The 23314-nt window shown below is 36.5% G+C and overlaps 1 protein-coding gene across 10 annotated transcripts in view; it reads left to right on the plus strand.

Moving 5' to 3' along the window:
- TTC3 (tetratricopeptide repeat domain 3) overlaps positions 1 to 23314 on the plus strand; it is a 129865-nt gene that overhangs the window by 3008 nt on the left and 103543 nt on the right. For 5 of the 10 annotated variants that reach the window (NM_001320703.2, NM_001320704.2, NM_001330683.2 and 2 more), the window contains exons 2-10: positions 10986 to 11140; positions 11572 to 11614; positions 11935 to 12085; positions 12538 to 12625; positions 13972 to 14025; positions 15032 to 15152; positions 17744 to 17829; positions 19089 to 19183; positions 20320 to 20382. The exons of 4 other annotated variants lie outside the window; for them this stretch is intronic. In NM_001320703.2, the coding sequence (NP_001307632.1) occupies positions 10986 to 11140; positions 11572 to 11614; positions 11935 to 12085; positions 12538 to 12625; positions 13972 to 14025; positions 15032 to 15152; positions 17744 to 17829; positions 19089 to 19183; positions 20320 to 20382 (856 nt within the window). Of the gene's footprint in view, positions 1 to 6685; positions 8071 to 10985; positions 11141 to 11571; positions 11615 to 11934; positions 12086 to 12537; positions 12626 to 13971; positions 14026 to 15031; positions 15153 to 17743; positions 17830 to 19088; positions 19184 to 20319; positions 20383 to 23314 lie in introns of those variants that run through there. One more of the 10 variants, NM_003316.4, reaches the window with a different exon arrangement.

The raw sequence follows: 23314 nt of genomic DNA on the forward strand, positions 1-23314 counted from the left end.
ATGTAAGTCATTAATTTTCACTGCTGTGTAATATTCCAAGTGTGAATATAACACAGTGTATGCATTCTTCTGTTAATGGGCATTTTGGTTGTTTCTAGGTTTTGCTGTTATGAAGTTATATACTTTTTGGTTCACAGTTGTAAGAATTTTTCTAATTTTCACACTGGGGTATATGAGCCCCAGAGGAGTAATGAAGATTTGCTAAGGAATGTGTGGGTACAAATGATGTTAATGAATCAGTTTCTAGATCATTACATTCCATAGGTACTCTTTCCTAAAAATGGTAATGCCTGAGGCCTCCTGCTAGTGCTACTTTCTTACCTTGTGTTTCTAACATTGCACTTTACATAAGACAGGCAAACCACAGGTTCTTGTGGAATCTTACTATGGCATTGCCCAAAGGGGGAAAACTCCCTTGGGGAAAACAAAGGGATTTTTTTTTTTTTTTTTTTTTTTTTTGAGTGAAGTTTTGCTCTTTTTGCCCAGGCTGGAGTGCAATGGCACGATCTCGGCTCACTGCAACCTCTGCCTCCCAAGTTCAAGTGATTCTCTTGCCTCAGCCTCTGAGTAGCTGGGATTACAGGCGCGCACCACCACACCCGGCTAATTTTGTATTTTTAGTAGAGACGGGATTTCACCATGTTGGCTAGGCACGTCTTGAACTCCTGACCTCAGGTGATCTGCCCGACTCGGCCTCCCAAAGTGCTGGGATTACAGGCCACCGCGCCTGGCCTACAAAGGGATAATTTAAAATACCACTATAGTGTTAGGGAAAGCCTCTTTTAATCCTGGCACTTCCCCATCCATTTCCTTAAGAGAGATATTTCCAATAAAGTTGCTTTTTTTTTTATGTTATCAGGGTATATTTTTTGGCCAACCATATGCTGGTAATAATTATACATTTAAAAGAATGAGATAATCAGTTTTACTTTAAAATGTTACTGTGATGTTCTAGAAATTCACCCTTTGCAATTATTTAATCTTATGGTGATATTTTTTAAATGTCATCTTAATGGGTAAAGGGTATGCAATTTTAAAAAGCACTTTTGGTGGTTTGCGAGCAAAAAAAAAAGGTTGAAATACCACCATGTTAATTTGTTCAGCAGCAAAAGAAAAAGAAAAGAGAAAGAAATACTGCCGTATCACTATAGTAAGCTGTTTGCTAGAAATGGGATTGCTAGATCAAGGGGTATGAATGATCAGCTTTACAAAATAATGTCAGATTACTTTCTGAAGGGGTTGTATCAGTTTGTACTTTGGCCAGCAGTTTTGTCTGTTTATATACTTTGATCAACAGTGTGTAAGAGTTACAGTTGATCTACAACCTCTCCAACACTTGTTATTGTCAGACTTAATATTTGCCAATGGAATGGGTATGAAATGATGCATCATTGTGGTTTTAATTTGCATTTTTTGTTATTAATGAGATTGAGCATCTTTTGTATGTTTATGAACTGTCTTTGTTTCCTTTTTATGAAATATCTAGTCATATATTTTACCCTTTGTTCTGATGAGTTGTCTTTTAAAACTGGTAACATCGATTATGTGCGTTGTAAATATCTTTTTCTGGTTTGTGGCCTGTCTTTCTACTGTTTATGGTGTATTTTGGTGAACAGAAGTTCTTAATTTTAACATAATCTGATTGGAACCTTTCTTGCCCTGGGCTTATAAAGACATTCCTCTGTTTCTTTTTAGAGGTTTTAAAATGATGTCTTCCACATTTAAGTTCATAATTTATCTGGAATTGATTTTTGTGTATGTTCTGAGATAGTGATCCACATTGATTTTTTTTTTCTCCTGTGTGGTTCTAATTATCCCTGTACCATGTATTGAATTGGCCCTCTGTTCACCAGTGGTCTGCTGTGCCATCTCTTTTACATGTTTAGTTACTACCTGCATGGGTCTGTTTTTGGCTTGCCTTTCTGTGTCACTTGTCACCTTGTCTGTCTCTGTGTTCATACCACACTGTCTTAATCATTAATACTATAGTTTTACCTGAAATCTCGGTATCTGGGGAGGACTTGAATCTCACCTATTTTTGGTCATTTGTTCTTAAGAATTAGCTTGTTACATGACATGAAAAACCCTGTAGGTATTAATTAGAATTAATTGAATCAGTTTGGGGGAGAATCGAAATCTTTAAGATTTTGATCCTTTTTATTTTTAAGAATATGGTATGTATCTCTATTTATGTAAAGTTTTAGTGTAGTTTTGTAATATTCTCCATAGAGGTCTTCCACTTTTTCATATGTTAATTCTGATGTTATTGTTTTTGTTGCTATTATAAATGGTGGTGTTCTTAAAGATTCTATCTTAACTTATTTATTGTTAGTAAATATTTTAACTTATTGTTAAATAGAAATTTAATGAATTTTTAAAAATATTGACCCTTTAGTCATCCACTTGATAAACTTACTACTTCTAATATTTTTTCTGAAATTCCTTTGTGTTTTCTGTGTGGATAATTATATCATTTGCAAATAGTGACAGTTTTAGTTCTTCTAGTTATTTTTGCTTTTAATTTATTCATTTTTTTGGTCTTAAATGTGCTGGCATACTTTATACTTACGTTCAATGGAAGTGATTAGGGTTGTTCATTAGAAGCGATTATAGTGGGCATAGAGTTCTTGTTCTCAATTTTAAAGAGAATATTTCTCAGCTGAGAATAACATTTGCTGTGAATTTTTGTAGATACCTTTGATTAAGTTAGGGAAGTCTTTTCAGTTGTCACATGCTTTTCTGCATTTGTTGAGAATATCTTGTGTCTTTTCTTCTTTAATCTGTTAAATGTAATGAATTCCGTTTTATAGATTTAAAACTGTTCATTTTCTTTTATATTCTTTCTTGAGATAAACCCAAATTGGTCTTTATAGATTATATTTTTATGAACTACTAGATTGAGTTTGCTCATATTTTATTTAGATTTTTGTGTCTGTTTATGGCTAGAATCACTTCTCATTTTTCTTTATTGGCTGTCTTATCTGACTTGGGTATTAAAGTTACACTGACTTTATACCATGAGTTAGAGAATAGTTCCTCTTTTTCTGTTCCCTGGGAGAGTTTGGATTGGAGTGATTTGTTTCTTAAAAGCTTGGTGGAACTTAACTATAAGGTCATTTGGATCTAATGTTTTCTTCTTGGAGGTTTAGTAGTAATTAGCAGTTGAACAGTCATAGGACTGTTCAGGTATTCTATTTCTTTTAGTCAGTTTTGGTAAGTTTTAGAAATTTGTCCTTTCATCAAGTTTATGGTATGGTTTTTTTTTTTTTTTTTTTTTTTTTTTTTTTTTTAAGATAGAGTCTCCCTCTGTTGCCCAGGCTGGAGTAGTGCAGTGGTGCCATCTCATTGCAACCTCTGCCTCCTGAGTTCAAGCGATTCTCCTGCCTCAGCCTCCTGAGTAGCTGGGATTACAGCCGTGCGCCACCATGCTTGGCTGATTTTTTTGTATTTTTAGTAGAGACGGAGTTTCACCATGTTGGCCAGGCTCTTCACAAACTCCTGACCTCAAGTGGTCTGCCCACCTCGGCCTCCCAAAGTGCTAGGATTACAGGTGTGAGCCACCGCTCGTGGTATGGCATTAATTCTCTTTTTAATCTCTGTTTTATTTGTATATGTGTTCCCCTTTTCTCATGTTGAATATTATTTATGTCTGACTTCTCTTTCTTGATCAGTCTTAGTAAAAGTTTGTCCATTTTTAAAATCTTGGCAAAGGATTAACTTTTGGCCTAATTTGTTCTATTATTTGTTTTTTATTTCATTGATCTTTTTTCTCTTTTATTATTTCATTTTACTTTCAGTTTATTATTTTACTATTTTTTTCACTTAAATTACACACTTAATATTAATTTTCAACCATTCCGATTTCCTAGTATAAGCATGCAAGACTGTAAACTTCCTCAAAGTTCATTTTTGCTTATCTAACATAGTTTAATTTATAGTGTTTTCATTAACTTTCAAATCTAAGTATTTTTACAATTTCTATTTTGATTTTTTCTTTGACTTATGAGTTACTTAGACATTTTTAAATTTTCAAATGTGTCTATATTGTTTTCCTTTAATTATCGATTTCTTACTTGTGTTGCCAGAGAATATTTTATCTTTTTAGCATTTTTTTTTTTTTGCCCTTGCTTTATGGCCTTGTACATAGTGAATTATTAGAACTGTTCTGTGTACACTTGTGAAGAGTATATATTCTGTAATTGTTAAGTGTCTATTAGGTAAAGCTTGTTATTTGTGTTGTTCTGATAGTCTTTATCCTTATTAATTTTGGTTTATCCTATCATTAACTGAGAGAAGTGTGTTGCAATATTCCACCATTACTAGTTTCTAACAGATTTCCTGTAGTTCTAACAATTTTTGTTCTTCTGTATTTTGAGACTTTTATTAGCTACATGCAAGCTTAACATTTTTTTCCTAGTGGCTCGAACCTTTACTATATTGTGATCTTCTCTAAGTTTGCTTCTTTGTCTTAGAGGCTTTTTGTCTGATCCCGTCTTTCTTTTGGTGCTAATTTACCTGGAATATTCTTTTCTTTCATTTTACTTTGATTTTTTTTAGTGTCCTTACATTTTAAGTGTCTCTTATAAGGGACATACTACTGGATTTTTCTTTTAATCTCACCAGACAACTTCTGTCTTTTAATTGGTTATGTTCCAGGTGTCTTGGTTGGTGTTTGACTCAGTTTTAGATATTAAAAAAAATCTAAAAGTATTTTTATTTTACCTTTGTTCTTGACAGATCATTTTGATGGATGTACAATTGTAGGTTGGTGTTTCTTTTCTGTCAGTAGGGTAGGAATACTATTCTGCTGTTGCTTATACAAAGTGTGCTGCCAGTTTTATTTATGCCTTTTTTTTTTTTTTTTTTTTTTTTTTTGAGGTGGAGTCTTGCTGTGTTGTTAGGCTGGAGTGCAGTGGCGCCATCTTGGCTCATTGCAACCTCCGCCTCCTGGATTCAAGCGATTCTCCTGCCTCAGACTCCCAAGTAGCTGGGACTACAGGCACCTGCCACCATGCCTGGCCAATTTTTGTATTTTTAGTAGAGATGGGGTTTCACCATGTTGGCCAGGATGGTCTTGATCTCTTGACCTCGTGATCTGTCCGCCTCAGCCTCCCAAAGTGCTGGGATTACAGGCGTGAGCCACTGCACCCAGCCTATTTATGCGTTTTTTGAAGAAAATATCATTTTTCTTTTAGTTACATTGGATTTTCTGTCTTTTGTGTTACATCATTTCACTTCTAAGTCTAGATAGAGATTATATTTATCCTATTTTGGATGCATGTGTTTCATGATTCTGCATTTTGTCTTTCATGAGATCTAGAAGTTTCTGAGCCCTGTATTCTTTAAATATTATGTCTCATTAGTCTCTTCTCTCCTGCTGGAACTTTAACTGGATATATATATACACTAAACTGTTTCCAGATCACTTATTCTTTATCTTTCATATTTTTTATCTCTTTGTTTCTCTTTACCAGAATTTACAGTGCTGGATAATTTCATAAGGCATATATTTTAGTTCACCAATTTTCTCTTCAACTGTGCCTAATATCCTCTGTAACCCATCCTGTCTCTTTTTTTTCTTTTAACAATTGCATTTTTAATTACTTTTTTTTTTTTTTTTTAAGATGGAGTCTCTCTCTGTCGCCCAGGCTGGAGTGCAGAGGCGCGATCTCAGCTCACTGCAAGCTCCGCCTCCCGGGTTCACGCCATTCTCCTGCCTCAGCCTCCCGAGTAGCTGGGACTACAGGCGCCCGCCACCACGCCCGGCTAATTTTTTTGTATTTTTAGTAGAGACGGGGTTTCACCGTGTTACCCAGGATGGTCTCGATCTCCTGACCTCGTCATCTGCTCACGTTGGCCTCCCAGAGTGCTGGGATTACAGGCATGAGCCACCATGCCCGGCCGCATTTTTAATTTCTAAAAGTTCTGCCTGGTTCTTTTTTGATATGTCCAGTCATTCTTCATGTTCTCATGTTATATGCTGATTTTTGTGACTCTATAGCTATTCTGTAGACTATATCAGACATTCCCAATGTCTGATATCCTTGAGGAGGGGGATGTCTAAATTTATTGCTTTTTTGTTTTTTTTTCTGTTGTCTCTCCTCAATGTAGCTGTCACCTCATGTGTTTGGTGATCATTGATTATGAACTTCTGTTTGATCTTTGTGGTGATCTTGAGAGTCTAATTTGAGGATGCTTGCTTTCTGAAAGCATTTCTATCAGCTTTGTCTGGGAGCCAGAAAGTTTAGCTGGCATCACTTTTGAGTTCCTACATTTTGCTTCTGGCCCAGGGCTCAGTGTCCTGATCCTATTACTGCTCTTGGCACCACTACTTGTAGCACTAAACTGTAGCCAGGTTTAATTTCTAGCTCAAGGTTTGTTGCTTTTGCGTGGAGAGGGTGCCTTCACATGTTCCCCTATTTCTATGAGCTCAGCAAAAACATCCAAAAAGTGTTTTTTTTTTTAATCTAGGATATACCTTTTTCCTCCCAACAGTACATTCCCCCAGAGTGTATAGTTGACCATAACTGATGGGATCAGAAGCTCTTTATTTTAATATTTAATTTTAGTAGTATATTTTTGTTTGATTGTATTATAAAAAATTTTATGGTACCAAGCAAGCTTTCTTGGTGATACCAACATTTCCATTAAAACTAGTTTACATCTAAGTTAAGATTTGAGTTATCCTAAAGAAAAGTATTAAGTAAATAGCAGTACAGATGGCAAATGGATTGCACAATATATCCTCTGGATCCATAGTGACCCTGCAGAGATAAACCTGTGATGGTCAAACAATGTGAAAACTGCTGTCAGAGACATGGGCAGGGTGCTCTTGTTTACAGAGAAGAGGTGCAAAAATCAACTTGATGGTAGTGGGAAGATCAGGAAATGCTTCCTGAAATTGAGTATTAAGAACTAATAGACATTAGGTGGTTGCAGAATAAGTTTTGTTTAGGAAGGACAAGCAGTTGGGTATGACTGGCTTCTAGGTTGTGTGTTGTGGAGTGACTGGGGATAAAAGCAGGAGCAAGATCACAAAAGGTCTTCTATGCTTATATTAGGGAAGTTGGACTTTATTCTCAAGCTGAAGGGAAGCTGTTGCATGGTTTTAAGCAGTAAAGTGATATGATCAGAGTTTTAGAGGATGCCAAGATTGAAGGCAAGTCTGACCAGTTAGGAGACTGCTTGTTAAATTAGTTCAGAGGAGAAACAGTGAAGGCAGTGGCACTGGGCATGAAGAAGTATATGTGTGCTAATTTTAGATTTCTTAGGGAAGCAGAAATGACAAGAGTTAGTGGTCCATTGGACAGAAATATTGAAGGAGACTGGGGAGTCTAGGTTGACTCCCAGGGTTTAGGTTTGGGCAGTAAAATGACATGTAGAACAATTAACTGATAAACAGCATACAGAAAGAGGAAAGAACTTCATTTCATATGTTTGTTTTTGAGGAAAAGATGTTTGTTTTTGAACTTCCTGATTCAGAGGGGCTTGTGGGACATCTTGGTTAAGATCCTGTAGTAGTTCTAGTAGGGTCTAGAAGTCAAGAGATACAACCCCGCCTGGAAGGATTTGGGAGTCTTCAGCATTTGGAATTTTGGAAGCCATTGTTTACTGCAGTGCATATGAGATAATTTAAACTGGTACATAGATAAACACTTGAAAAAATTTTAATAGATAGGAATTTAATGTGTATGAGAAACATAACTTGCACATCTAACCTTTGATAATCATGGACATTATCACTTAGGCCAAGTGAGCTCAATAAAAGGGAAATATTAACTAAAAATATATGTGATACATGGAAATGGCAAAAATCACGGTGAAGCTATGCAAACGATGCAAGTTCAGAAAGTGCTGTGTTAAGTCATGGGTGTGGTGGATAAATTCACCCAAGGAGAGAGTAAGAGTGAGAAGAAAAGAGAGTTGACATTGGGTGGCGGGGAATGGAGAAGAAGAACCCATGAAGGAAACTGAGGAAGAGCAGCCAGACGAATAGGAGGAAAACCAGGAGAAGATGGTCTTTGGAGTCCAAATGAAGAGTTCTGAGGAGGAAGTGGTCCACAGCGTCAAGTAAGTTGTAAGCTGAAAAGTGCTCTTTGGATTTAGCAATTAAGGTAGACTATTTAGCTGGAAGCATCCAAACAGTGGATTTTAAAAATACTCATCTAACATTAATGTTAATGATAGCTGGTATTTATAGCATTTCCCATATACCTGGTACTCTTCTAAGCTCTTTACATGTATTAACAGATTGATCAGGTAGGTAGTATCGTTATCCCCATTTGATATGCGAGGAAACACAGAGGAAGCACAGAGAGGTTAAGTAACTTGCCCAAGATCACACACCCAAGGAAACAAGAGAGCCAGGACTCAAGCCCAGAGTCTTGGCTGCAGAGTCCCTGTTCTTAACCACTTTGTCACATTGCCTCTCTAGTTAAAAACAAAATACAAGGCCGGGTGCGGTGGCTCACGCCTGTAATCCCAGCACTTTGGGAGGCCGAGGCGGGCGGATCACAAGGTCAGGAGTTCAAGACCAGCCTGGCCAATATGGTGAAATCCTGTCTCTACTAAAAATACAAAAATTAGCTGGGCGTGGTGGTGGGCACCTGTAGTCCCAGCTACTTGGGAGGCTGAGGCAGGAGAATCGCTTGAACCCGGGAAGTGGAGGTTGCAGTGAGCCGAGATCGTGCCAGTGCACTCCAGCCTGGGCGACAGAGTGAGACTGTGTCTCAAACAAACAAACAAACAAACCAAAACAAAATAGAAAATAAAATATACCCCAGTGTCGTAATTACAGTACAATTGGTGCTGTGTGTGTTATCAGTGAGATTCGCTAGGCTTGAATGACCAGTATCAGTCTGCCAGGTATGAGCACATTAATTGTATTGTAATTGATGCCATGATGTGTGGGCTGTGACAGTTCTTGGCTCTTTCTGTATTTTATGCCAAAAAAATTTGTAAGACAAGTGAGATTAGCATATACCTCATATTATGTGCTATAGTTTGGGTGCTCCAGTATCTTATGTTTTCTGGTCATTGTTCACTTTTAGAGTTAAATTTTTTAAACTCTAGAAATATTCATGCAGAATAGGTCAGGTTCTAGACATTATAGATAACCAGTCTTTTGTGGAAGGTCATTAATGATCCTAATGAAAGCAGTTTCCCTTGAATGGTCGAAGTGGAAACCAAATTGTTAGGAAACTGACAGTGAATGAGAATGGAGGATTCAGATGGGTGAAAAATGAAGAGTTCTTGATGAAGTTGAAGAATGGCTGTGGTAGGAAATCAGGAAGACATGAGCCGTAATGACTCTTGGCTATGGTCAGAGAGGAGCTAATAAAGATTTAAGAACTGGTTTCGACCCAGGTAGTGATCTGAGGTGTCCCCCTGGGGTGGGAGAGCCTAGTGAGGTAGGCAGTGAAGATCATGTTAGTTGAGGAGGTTGTTAAACTACAAGGCTAGGGTATTGTGTGCATGGACCTCGATGTGGCTGGGATGATGATAGAATTTGGAGGAAAGAGAAAAACACTGAACTAGTTGCCAGTGATCTTGAAACGTGACAGTAACCAAGAGATAAATAGGTGACAATGACAGGAAAATTAGATGTAGTAAAAGAGAGTGTTTGAGAGCAGAAGCTATGGCAACTAAAGACTGGATTTGAATCCTTCCTAGCTTGGTGACATGAGCAAATTACTTGATTTAAGTGAGCATTTTCCCATCTGTACAGTGGAGATAACGATAATTGTGCCTGCTAAGAAGAATTGCTGTGAAGATTAGTGAAATAATGCATGTAAAACATTTGGTACAGTATGTGACACATAGTACAAATAGTTTGCTAGGAAGATTGTTATTATTCTTCACTTGTGATATTGTGAAGTTTTCATACAGCAAATTGGACATCATGAGATGGATTGATTAAATAAATAGATTTGAACTTCAAGGACTGGTAGTGTTCTTGCTTTGGAAAGAAGAAACTTGGTTTATCCTAATAATAGTAGGATAATAATGGTGAAGTGATAGGTACAAGTAATAGTGTTTATGATGCGCTGGTGATGATAGGAAAAGAAAGCCATTATATGGGCAAGAGCTAGAAGTAATAAAATGGTGCATTTTTCAGTGATGTTTGGCCTATGTAGCTATTCTCTGATAACTATAAAAATCCTTATTATTGAAGATTCTTCAGGAAAAAAAACCCTTAGTCTGAAACTTTACCACCAATCCCCCTTGCCCCCCATTGAAATACGTATTTTTAAAACATGGCTTTTGATAATGTGAGGGTTTTTTCCTTTTTGCGATTTAGCAGTGCTGATTGTGTATTGCAGTAGTTGTGAGAGCATTAGAAGCAGCAGTCGATAGGAGGATGGAAGGTCTGGATGCCGCCTTGGGGAGTTAGGAGATTGGCAGACTTACCCTGTACCACTCTAGCCCTACTCCTTTGCCCAAGACAGAAACACACTGAGATGGATAGGAGAATATGAGCAGTTGATAGGAAAGTTCTCAGTGGAGTCAGGATTTAGGTTAGGCCAGGAGATTGAGAATATAACAGTTTGTGTATGATGAAATGGCATATTTCACAGAATGCAGTAAAAGCAGGTAGGGTACAAGTGCAGCAACAGGAAGATGTCTTTTCTTCATTCAGCAAACACTTATTTGAGAGCTTACCATGTGCTAGGCACATACAAAGATAAATAAGATGCCCTTGATGATCCTCTATTTAAAGGAGACATGTAAACAGGTTAACTTAGAGTAGAGATGGTGAATATGTGAACCTGAGGAAAGGAAGAAATAGATTAAATTATCTGGAGAGAGAGGAAAAGTCAGCAGAATGGGGACGAGAATCTTTCGGAGCTCAGTGTTCTGATAGGAGTTATTTCCTTGGGCATAGGTTCCAAGTATTTTTCTAATATACCATAGAAGCCAGGAAAACTTTCTTCTGTTATCTCAAATGATTTAATTACTGACTTGAGTTTGTGTTGTCTCCTTAGACTTGTGCACCATGGACAATTTTGCTGAGGGAGATTTCACTGTGGCGGATTATGCCTTGTTAGAAGATTGCCCTCACGTGGATGATTGTGTCTTTGCTGCTGAATTTATGAGCAATGATTATGTTCGTGTGACTCAGCTTTACTGTGATGGGGTGGTAAGTAGGTTTGCTAATTTTTCATTTTTGACATTGTGTATTGAAGGTTTTCTGGTTTAGGGCTATCTGAGTAAAGATGTTTTTGTGGTACGTGCGTTTTGACAGGGAGGTACACATGCTGTTGAAAAGTTGATTTGAGAAGGGAAAGTAAGCACTGGCTCAAAAATAAGATTGTGGAGTGCCAGAGAATGAGTGGTGGCAAAAGGTGGTTTTCTGACAGGGCATAAGAAAAGCTCTTGGGGAGAGCCATAGAAGCAAACTCAGGTAATACTGTAAAACGGGTCTCAAATTAAGACTCTTTGGCTGAAGATGTGTTTGAAGCATATAAATAAATGCCCACTGAAAGTTCTTTGGTTAGTTCTGATAATCCTTAGATTAAAAATCAAGAACATTTTACTAGACACAAATCAAAATAATTTTCTTCTTTTTAGGGTGTGCAATATAAAGATTATATCCAAAGTGAGAGGAATTTGGGTGAGTACGTTGGTATTTTTAATGTTAATTTATGGAAAGACTACAAAGGGAGGTCCATCCATCCTGTCATAGCAATACAACAGATTTATATGCCTTTTAAAAATGTATTCTTACTAGTTTTTCACTAGAAATCAGAACTTTTCTTTGTTAAAATAGAGTTTTTGCCAGCACTTAAATATTCTTAACATTTAACAGGCTAGAATACTTCATTCATTCATTTCTTCCCTCTCCATATCCATTTTTGCCTTTTTACTATTAAGTGTTGATTCATTAAAAAAATGAGGCACAAACATTAATTTTAAACTTTTTTTTTAATTAAGAATTTGACATCTGCAGTATATGGTGTAGTAAACCAATTTCTGTCCTGCAAGATTATTGCGATGCCATTAAAATAAACATCTTCTGGCCACTTCTGTTTCAACATCAAAACAGTTCCGTAATATCACGATTGCATCCCTGTGTGGACGCCAAGTAAGTTACTATATGTTGCTCATTTTGTGTGGACAGTGATAAACATGTTACCCAATACCAAGAAATGCAAGTTCAATGGAAGGCTTATGTCTTATTCTTGTATGCTGCTCAACGTTTGTGTAATAGGGTGGAAAAAACAAATACTTGAGATTTGGATATGAATGAATAATTGTAACATAATCAGTGAAATTCTGAATAGTACTAGATGGTAGACTGGAAGCTGAGTCAGGAGGAATTAACATGGGTGTTTATAAGTATCAGTGTTATAGTGCAGAAGAGAGGAAAAAGATACAGTATTTTGTTCATTTAATAAATAGCTTAGTTATTGTTACCTAGAGTGAAGAAAAAGAGAACTTATTTTTTAATGGTTTGAGATATATAGCTAAGCATAAAGTTCAATGAATTTGTATATATGAGAATCTAATCTTTTAAAAAATAAATTTGTCTTTAAGCAATTCACGTGCTTCTGAGATAAATTTGAAGAAACTACAACATCTTGAGTTGATGGAAGATATTGTGGATTTGGCAAAGAAAGTTGCTGTAAGTGGTAGAATGTAGGTTCCCCCGAGCCCTTGGTTTAAATAATATAAGCATTTATATGGTGTTAGGCTCAAATGACTAATTTATAGCAATTAACAGGTAATGGTTTTAGTTTTGGTTAACCTGAGATAAATCTGCTGTCCATCAGTGCGTGCTCAGTATTTGAGAGATCAGGGAGATGGCTGATGTCATGGTTCTACGCTGGGGACCAGGACTGCATCTTGTCATTAAAGGATAGAAATTGGAACTTGTCACAGAAAGTGGGGTATGGGTTCATGAAAACCTTTGCCACAGGTTCTGAAAGTGATGTGCTCTATCTGTTGATATAAAATCACATCACCATCAACAAATATTTTGTCTTTGGGTAGGTAGACTTTATCAGGGCAGATTTGAGGAGGTGTCCTTCATTATGCTATTGAGATAAGTTGAGAGTTTTTGTGGTTTTTAATTTTTTTTTGAAAGCTATTGGATAGCTTTTTAAATTTCAGTTGGTTATGGAGTCAAGTGTTGTTCTTGGTACTATTAAATTTAGAAAGGGCATTCTGATGTTTATTTTCTGCAGTAGTTATTTGCAGTAACATACAAACCAGTGTACCTTTATAAAAAAAATTAAGTGCAATGAACTTTATTATTATTATTATTTTTGAGATGGAGTCACCCTCTGTCGCCCATGCTGGAGTGCAGTGACGAGATCTTGGCTCACTGCCATCTTCGCCTCCCGGATTCAAGCGATTCTCCTGCCTCAGCCTCCCGAGTAGCTGGGACTGTAGGCGCCTGCCACCATGCCCAGTTAACTTTTGTATTTTTAGTAGAAACGGGGTTTCACCATGTTGGCCAGGCTGGTCTCGAACTCCTGACCTCAGATGATCCACCCGCCTCGGCCTCTCAAAGTGCTGGGATTACCAGTGTGAGCCTGTAGAAACCTCACCTCTACTAAAAATACAAAAATTAGCCGGGTGGTAGTGGCACGTGCCTGTAATCCCAGGTAGTTGGGAGGCTGAGGCAGGAGAATTGCTTGAGCCTGGGACGTGGAGGTTGTGGTGAGCTGAGACTGCGCCACTGCACTCCAGCCTGGGTGACAGAGTGAGACCCTGTCTCAAAAAAAAAAAAAATTCACATGTCTAAAGATTATACTAAGTTATTTTACTGCTAGAACCCTATTGGAGACTATTTTGGAATTCTTGTCTTAAGATCTTAAGGGGTAACTTGGTCATGTAAATGCTTGTCGGAAGTGTACTACTGAGTACATATAGTAGTGTTCCTAAAATGTAGGCCATTTTTCCGTTAGAAAATTCAAGTAGAATTGACTGAATAAGGAAAAAATATGTCCTTTTTTTATTTTTCAGAATGATTCATTCCTTATTGGAGGCTTATTGAGAATTGGTTGTAAAATAGAAAATGTAAGTGTTAAACACTGAAACTGGCACAGCCACTGTGGATGAGTGGCAGTCATCTCACTGCTCATTTCCCCTTGCATTGGGTCCATACACTCAATGTTCTATATGTGGTATTTGGTAGTATTGACTTCTATATTTTCCTTAAGGAGACTCCTCATTTTGGGGGTTTGGATCATTTTCTCTCTTTTTTTTTTTTTTACCCATGTACATAGTGTAATTTTGAGCCTATTTTACAAGTTGATTCTTTTTCTCTTTTAGATTATTTACCTGGCTTATGTTTCCCCAAATGAAATTATTAGGCCTCTGGTATGAATATTTTTTGTTATATAATTACTAGGTAATCTCCAGATTCAATGTTAAACCAATTTTTAATGATACTGATGCCATAAACATCTATGTTTACCTTAAGCCCATTGTTAACTTTAATTTTTGAAGTTACTTTAGACATTAGAAGTACAAATAACATTTCTGTGAATTCTTGATCCTTCATGGAGATCACTGCACTGAGTGCCCATTTGCCCAGCCACATCTTCCTCTTGTTCTTTATCTCCTTATTCTTCTGTTTGCCACAGACCACGTAAAATATGTAGTTCCTTTGGAGAACTTTAATCTATAAATTTAACCTTGGGGTAAGGATGGAAGTCTTTGTGTAGATGAGATCTGAGAACCCTCATCCACCTTGTTATATTGCACTTGCCTGCTACCCCAGGCAGTCTGGCCAGGTTGTAGACCTCAAATTGCAGGTCTGTAGTAATTGCAGAAGCATCTTGAGCTCTGAGGGTGGCCTGAAGTCACCTGAAGAGGTAACATATATGAGTCCATAGTATCTGTTAATTTATATGTCAGAGTCTGTCTACTCTAAGTTACATGCCAGAGTAGCAAAAAATAAGTGGTTGTACCAGTTTTGTAGTAAGGATCTGAAATACTTGCATAAGATGAATTTATAATGCCACATGCAAATTTAGAATTAATAACCAAAGCCCCATTCTTCATTTCTCTTTTGAAACAGAAAATCTTGGCAATGGAAGAAGCTCTGAATTGGATAAAATATGCAGGCGATGTAACAATTCTAACTAAATTAGGATCAATTGACAATTGTTGGCCTATGTTAAGTATTTTCTTTACTGAATGTAAGTATAAATGCTTTAAATTGTTACTTGACTCAGTTTTTAAAGGTGTTTGGGAAAATGAGATATGTAGTTAAGTGATTTCTGATTTATCTTAGAATTTAAAAAAAGTTTTTATTTTGTTATATATGGCTGAAAAAGAGAATTTCTTTTTTTTATTATTTATTTATTTATTTATTTATTTATTTTGAGGCAGATTCTTGCTCTGTTGCCCAGGCTGGAGTGCAGTGGTGCAGTCTCTGCTCACTGCAAGCTCCGCCTCCCGGGTTCACACCATTCTCCTGCCTCAGCCTCCCGAGTAGTTGAGACTATGGGCGCCTGCTACCACGCCTGGCTAATTTATTGTATTTTTAGTAGAGACAGGGTTTCACCGTGTTCACCAGGTTGATCTCGATCTCCTGACCTCGTGGTCTGCCTGCCTTGGCCTCCCAAAGTGCTGGGATTACAGGCGTGGGCCACCGTGCCTGGCCGAAAAAGAGAATTTCAAACTGGTAGTTTTATTCTATATTTTCTGTCTTAATTATTTTTATGACATTGTACTTTAAAAATTTTCACTGAATGGATATTGTAAGTTGTTATATGTAATACTCAAAGAGACCACAACTGGGTAGTCTCCTTTGTAAGAAAAAGTCACTGAAGCTAAGCTTATGATTTTTATTTTCTTCATGAATCTGTTGTTCTTTTATGTATGAGGTAACTGCCTTACATATTTCTTTTACTTTGTGAAATATTTTTCTTTAAAGCATTTGAATATTAGCAGTGTTTTTATAGTATAGTTATAGGAATCTTGAAACAGGAAAGGTTTGGCTTTTCAGTAGATGATGACCAATAATTTACCATCTCTGCTGAGATAAAGGCAAATTTTGCACTATTGACTTAAGTGCTAGAAAGGAATTAAATGAAGACACATCTTTCTCATAGGTTTATTAGACACTGGGGTGTATTACACTGATAGAGGTTGTTCTCTTCATTGTTTTGGAGGCCCTTAATTATAAGCTAGATTTTATGGTGGAAGTAGAGAAGCAGTATCTTGTACTAGGTACACCTCTTTAGGCTTATAGCTGATTTTTTACATTCTATTTTCTTTATAATAGCTCTGCAAGGTGGCTGTTACTATCTTTGTTTTAGCAGTGAGCACACTGACTTTGAGAGGTTAAGTGTTGTTTCTGCAGTATAGTAAGTAGTAGGTAGTAGTAGGTAAGACTAGATAAGTCAGATCTCTCTGATCTCAAAGCCCAGGTTTTATTCCATGTAATCTTACTCTGTCCCTTAGAATTTCTTTATTTGGTGACTTTCTTAGGTCCTTTATTGAATCTTAAATTTTAGGTGCTCTTTTCACTTTAGAAATGAATATGTTTGGCTAGAGGCTTAACTATAGTTTTGTTGCAATAAATTTTTTTTTGCCACTTTAAAATATCCTTTTTATATAATAGCTTACAATGTAGAAAATGAGGCCCGATAAACTTTAGTTACTTACTGCATCTTAATTAGTTTATTAAATTTTTATAATAATAGTGTTTCAAATAACTTCTCATTGTAACATTTTACTCATGAGAGTCAAAATACTAAATAAAAACTTTTGAAAGTATTTATTTAAAATATGTTGAGCATCAAAAATCCAAAATCTGAAATACCCCAAAATTTGAAACCTTTTGAGCTTCGCTATGACATTCAAAGGAAATGCTCGCTGGGCGCGGTGGCTCACACCTGTAATCTCAACACTTTGGGAGGCCGAGGCGGGTGGATCACGAGGTCAGGAGATCGAGACCATCCTGGCTAACATGGTGAAACCCCGTCTCTACTAAAATTACAAAAAAAATTAGCCAGGTGTGGTGGCACATGCCTGTAATCCCAGCTACTCGGGAGGCTGAGGCAGGAGAATCGCTTGAACCCGGGAGGCGGAGTTTGCGGTGAGCCAAGATCATGCCATTGCACTCCAGTCTGGGCAACAAGAGTGAAACTCCATCTCAAAAAAAAAAAAAAAAAAAAAAAGGAAATGCTCATTGGAGCATTTTGAATTTTTGGATTTGGGATACTCACCCAGTATAATGCAAATATTCCAAAATCCAAAATTATCCAAAATCCAAAACACTTCTGATCCCAAGCATTTTGAATAAGAGATACTCAATCTTTATATTAAATAGATTGTAGAAAGTAGTTTTGCAGGTTTTTGTTTTCATGCATTTTTATTGAATATTGTGCATGGTACACCATACATGCTTGACAGTGTTTATTGAATTGACTTAAGTAATTATGTGGCCTATTTGGAATATGTTATGACAGAGCATTTATTGTAAATACAATTACAACTAATATAATAATAAATAAAGGTTTTTTATTGCTAGAAATAAAAGGTGAGATTAGATTCATAGCAAGCAATAACTGATGTTTTCTGCAACATTTTATCAGTTTATTTTTTTACTGAGTTATTTAATAGACATAAAAGGTTACAAGAAACATGTGCTATTTAGAAAGAATAATAATATAGGACCGTTGTGGACTCACCTAACTCAAGAATTAGAATATTATCAATACCAATTTGTTTTTTTTTAAACAAATGTTCTCTCTTGCTCTCTCCTAAAAATAAAATTTAGACAAGTACCACATAACTAAAATTGTAATGGAAGACTGCAATTTGCTTGAAGAACTTAAAACTCAAAGTTGTATGGATTGTATAGAGGTGAGAATGAATATTATAAATATATTTTAAGATTTGCCCATTAGAACTTTTTAACACTCAGAGGAAGTTAATAAAACTGCTGACAATATACAATTCATAAAATTGGATGACATATTTGAGGGAAAGAACTAATATCTTGATCAGAGTTCTCTAATGATTTAAAAACCATTAATTGAAAGTGAAAATTTGGTTTTTAAAAACTTTAGTCTTTAATGAGTTGAAGAAATATGATTTTCTTTGGTAACAGCTGAGATGTAATTCATGTGCTACACTGTTCATTCATAGGAAATAGGACTTTAACTCAATTTTATAAAAGGAATTTGGGAAAATATTTAATGTTGTATTGAATTCCCTAATGCTGTTGATATGATGTGATTTAGTTTATTTTTAAAAAATTGAGTGTTCGAAATGAAAAGTTTTAGTTTTTTCTCTAGCACCTTTCATATATATTCTCGTTAACCTACCAACTCATGCTTTGCAATTAATCTAATCAGCATTGCCTCTATGTTATTGATTTATATATGTTTTTCGGCACTAAGGCTTTTTGAATAACATCACATTTGCTAACCTAAAGTTAAAATTCTACTTTGCATCTATTTTTTAGCCTTATAGATAAGGTATATTTAAAAGTGGGTCTGCCAAATACCGCACAAAATTTTAGCAATTATTCATAAGGTGATGGTTTTGTTTACTTTTTAATATTCTCTAACAAAGTTAGTGTTGAGTCATTCAAGACAGGTTTATTTAAATATATATACCGAGGCTGCACATGATGGCTCACACCTGTAGTCCCAGTACTTTGGGAGGTCGAGGTGGGAGGATTGCTTGAGGTCAGAAGTTCAAGACCAGCTGGGGTAACATAGCAAGACCTGGTCTCTACAAAAAATTTTTAAAAATTAGCTTGGCATGGTGGGGTGCACTTGTAGTCCTAGCTACTTGGGAGACTGAGATGAGAGGATCCCTTGGGCCTGGGAGATGGAGGCTGCAGTGAGCTGTGATTGCACCACTGCCCTCCAACCTGGGTGACAGACCCTGTCTCTAAAAATATGTGTGTGTGTGTGTGTGTGTGTGTGTATAGTGGGTGTGTATATATATATGTAACAAAATATTGGGTATTGTAATCTCATTTTCTACATAAATAATCCCCTATGTTATTTCTGATATCGAAGATAGAAATCCAGATCCATTTTTACTAGGTATTGGGTTCTTGATGATTTTTGGAGGTCATTGATGGGTCTTCTTTCACCTTGGTTTCTCAGGAAGGAGAACTAATGAAAATGAAAGGAAATGAAGAGTTTTCCAAAGAAAGATTTGATATAGCTATTATCTATTACACCAGAGCCATTGAATATAGGTAAGAGCAAATAGAACAAAAGAGATGCTTTTTCTATGGCACATCAAGTTAGAATGGTAGTCAGAAGAAATAAAAACAAGACGGAGAATTGGAGAGTATCTTCCAACTTGTGCAGAATAGATTTTCTCATCCTTGGGTGTTGGAAGCATTGGAGATGGCCTGGGTATATGAAGCTAACGTAGTAGCATAACTCAAGCAAGTCAGGCAAAATGGTGAATTTTCTGTTCCATTTTCTTTAAAACTTTCCAGTACAGAGTTACCTCTTTTGTCTTGTTCTCATTTTGCTATCAACCAAGTCCTCCCAAGTTATTAACTGGTCAAAAAGGATTAAAGGATTAGTTCTTAATAGTTAAGATGCCACCCATTCAGGGTTTTTTGCTTTCTAAGAGGGAACTTTTACAGGATAATTGAGAGAATGCATACATGCTCTCTACCTTGTCTTCTCTTTGCTCAGCTGCTAGAATTTTGTAGCTTTCCTCCAGATGTGCCTCATAACTGTGCGCCTATTGTCTCAGTCAGGCCGCCTAATATTGTAGCAGCCTTTGAAGGGTGCTCTGTAGCCACTGCTCTTTTTCCTCCCTTGTGCATCTCCACAGGGAATGAGGGAATCCGGTTAGTGTACCACCTCTGAGAGGCTGCTGCCCTATTCTTTTGAGGAAGAAGTGGAGGAAAGGGAGATACGTTTCACCACACAGTCAGATAAAACTAAAAAACAAAAGTTCAAATGAAGCTATTTTAATTTGCAATTACTGTAGGCTTCCTTTCTCAGTTCTTTGTCAAAACGACATAGTCCTGACTTATTATATAAGTAATCCTATCCTCTAGAGTTACTCTGTAGTTTGCTAGCTCTTTAATATGTCTCGTTTGATCCCCCAACAGCCCTATGAGTTAGAGCAACTAGAGTTATCTTCATTTTGAATATAGGGAAGTTTAGGTTGGTTCAAACAAAGTTACTTATGTAAGAAGTGAAGGAACGGGGACTTCGCCAGTTAAGACTCCAGGTCCTATATTCTTTTTGCTTTGCCACACATATGTAAAGTTTAAAAAAAGTTTTCTCATGCCTTATGTTTTCTACGTGATTTTTATTTGTTTCATGTGTAATGTGCTTTACTGACTAAACATTGTATCTTTTTAAGACCTGAAAACTACCTTCTTTATGGTAACCGAGCTCTTTGTTTTCTTCGTACTGGACAGTTTAGGTAAGTTGGTTAAAATATCTCAACCACTGAATTATTATGCTAAATACCCATTTTTGGGAAACGTTTCTGTTTTTCAGGTATACAAGAAAATCCTTGACTGGTTCTTTGGCAGAAATACTTAAGTGGTTAAAAGAGTATGCTTAGGCTTTATATATAATAACAACAGTGACAGCAGCAGCTATTCTGATTGAGTGCAGACATATGTTAAGCATTATTTTAAGTGCTTTGCATATGTTATTTGGTTCTCACAGCACCCGTAATAGGTAGGTAATGTTATAGTCCACATTTTACATGACCAAAGTGTACCACTAGTAAATAGTGATACCAAGATTTGAACACAGATTTTATCTGATGATGTCAAAGTCTGTGTTTGTGGCACCTATATTACCTCTTTATGCTCTGTTAATTAATCCATATAGTATAAAAGAAGCATTTTCATCTTTTCTCTGTTTATCCTGGTATAAAAAATTAAGTAAATATCCTTCATAAGTGAAAGAAAGCAAATAAATTTAATATTATGAGAGTGGAGTCATAATTAATTCCAGTTCCTTATATTGAATTTGAGCTGAGTTTTTATTTATTAGCTAAGAAAGATTGAGAAAGATACTGCACCATGATTTTATTGTTCCCCAGTATAAAATTTTTAGAACATAAATTATATATATTGAGCATTAATATTGAGCAGGTAGACTATTATATTTAATTTTGTCCTGCCTTACTGTAAGAAAGGTGTAGGGTGAATTCAAGAATACATCCACACAGTAGAAGAATATTCAAAATAAAACAAACCAGAAAACGAAGTTGGAATCTGGGATTCTCAGAACCAAGCTACATAGGCATAAGGTCCTGCATAGGTATTAGTTATAATTCATATTTGCCTCTGACCTTCAGCTACCCAAAATGAAATGGGAAAACTTGACAAGTTACTTAATTCTCATTGTCCATAAAGAAACAGGACACCAATTGGTCAGGTGAAACAGTTTTCCTAGTATTTAGTTTTGAAAGAAGTTGGGCTGTAATATTAATTGAGTGATGGAGTAGAGAATAATCTCAGCAGTATCTTATGCATAGCAAAAAACTCCCTGAAAGCACAGTTTTGGGTTTCACAAATACTTTTTTTGTGAAGTTTTCTCATGAAAGCTGAGAGTCTGCTATCAGTTGTTTTTCAGTGAAAGCGCTTGTATGGGAGGGTGGGAGTGGGGAAGGTAGTAAACTCTAAGCATGTAGCTTTAAAAATAACATTTATTGTGTTTTTCTTTTATTGTAAACAGAACACATTCTCATGGTAGAAAATTTGGAAAATACAAGAGTTTAAAAAGAAGAAAATAAAAATCACCAGTAATCCAACCACCTTGGAGAATACCGCTGTATTAACGTTATGCAGCTTTTAGATGGCTTAAGCCGTGGATAAACCGAGGCTATCTAGACTAGAGGAATGGATGGGCTTGACACAGTCTTCCATCAATACCACTGTCCTCAACGGGTTCTGACAAGAAATGAGCTGCACATGTCTTTAGGTTATTGCTACTGGCTAGGTCCAGAATTGCATTTATTTTGTGCTGTTTGAAGGTGAATTTGTATGCTTTCAAGATCAGATGAATAGGTTGGCAACTTGGCTAGCCTCTTGTGAAAATTGAGGTGCCTGTCTGAAATATTGCCTGGCAGAAGGTTTTCCACTTTCCACTTCTGAGAGCTGAGAGGCACACCAGGGTGTTTCTGCTCTCTTTCATGAGTGTTGAATGCTAGACACACAAGGAAGATCCTTCTAATACCTTGCTGCAACAGGAGGTGAATCAGAGTAGAAGTACAGAAGCTAGGTAGTTTGGTGAGGTAAAGGCCAAGAGCAGCTTGTGGATCTATCCTTGTACCTCCTTGCTGATGGTCTAGCTTGTGGTTTAATACCATCTACATTTCACTAAAGCCAGGTCAGCAGCATTGTTCCTTTGTTTCTTATTAGGCAATCACCAATATATATTGGATGCCTATTTTATTCACGAAGTGTTTTACCACACTGGTTTTGCTGGTGTTTCCTACCTCCTCACACATTGTCTATATGATTTGCTCAGTAATGTAGGGATAATGTTTTCAGAGTCCATAGTATATATAACTCCTGATCAGGTGACTAGATGGTGTGACTTAAGGAAAGAACACGTTGCCAGTAATTCAGATGTGCCATTGACACAGGAGGACCCATGCCTGAGAAAGACTTTTATCTGAGTTACTGAGATTAAGATGTTTTGAAGCTCCCAAGCAGAGGGATGCTGGATCTGCTGTGGAAATCTGGCTGAGCAGCTGCAGGGACAGCTGGGGGTAAAGCATCCACCCTCCCCCAGTTTGGCGAGGATGCACTCCTCAGCTGTTCTGGAAGGCCAGACTTCTTATCTGCTGTCATTGAAGCAAGAATTGAGATGTCCAAAGAGAACAGAAATGGGACAATTTAATACTAGAAAGGAATAAAAGGGTTAAAGTCTTGAATGCTAAAACTTCTGAAATAATTAATTTATCCTGAAAGATTAGAAAATATAAGTTGAAACTTTAAATGAAAAAGAGATTCAATTTAAAAAAGAACTTTGGCAAGATTGATATCTAAAAGGGTAAAAATAATAATACTGTATCTTACAACATGGTTATCACTGTTCTGAGCATTTAATGTGTATTAACTCGTAAAACCATCACAACTACGTGAGGTAGGTGCTACTGCCTTTTTACAGATGATGAAACAGGTATAGGGAGGCCAAGCAAAGTGTCTGAGGACACTAGGTGGATGTGATGGAGCCAGAATTTGAACCCAGGCAGCCTGGATGTAGAGTCTCTACTATTAATCACTATGGGAAGGTGGTGATAGAATAAAAGGGAATGTGAAAGTCGAAAAAATTAAAAAATAAATGGTCTAAATAGTCAATAAACGTTTATGAGGAAATGATTATCCTTC

This window comes from Homo sapiens, chromosome 21 (assembly GCF_000001405.40).
Source record: "Homo sapiens chromosome 21, GRCh38.p14 Primary Assembly".
Lineage (NCBI taxonomy): Eukaryota > Metazoa > Chordata > Mammalia > Primates > Hominidae > Homo > Homo sapiens.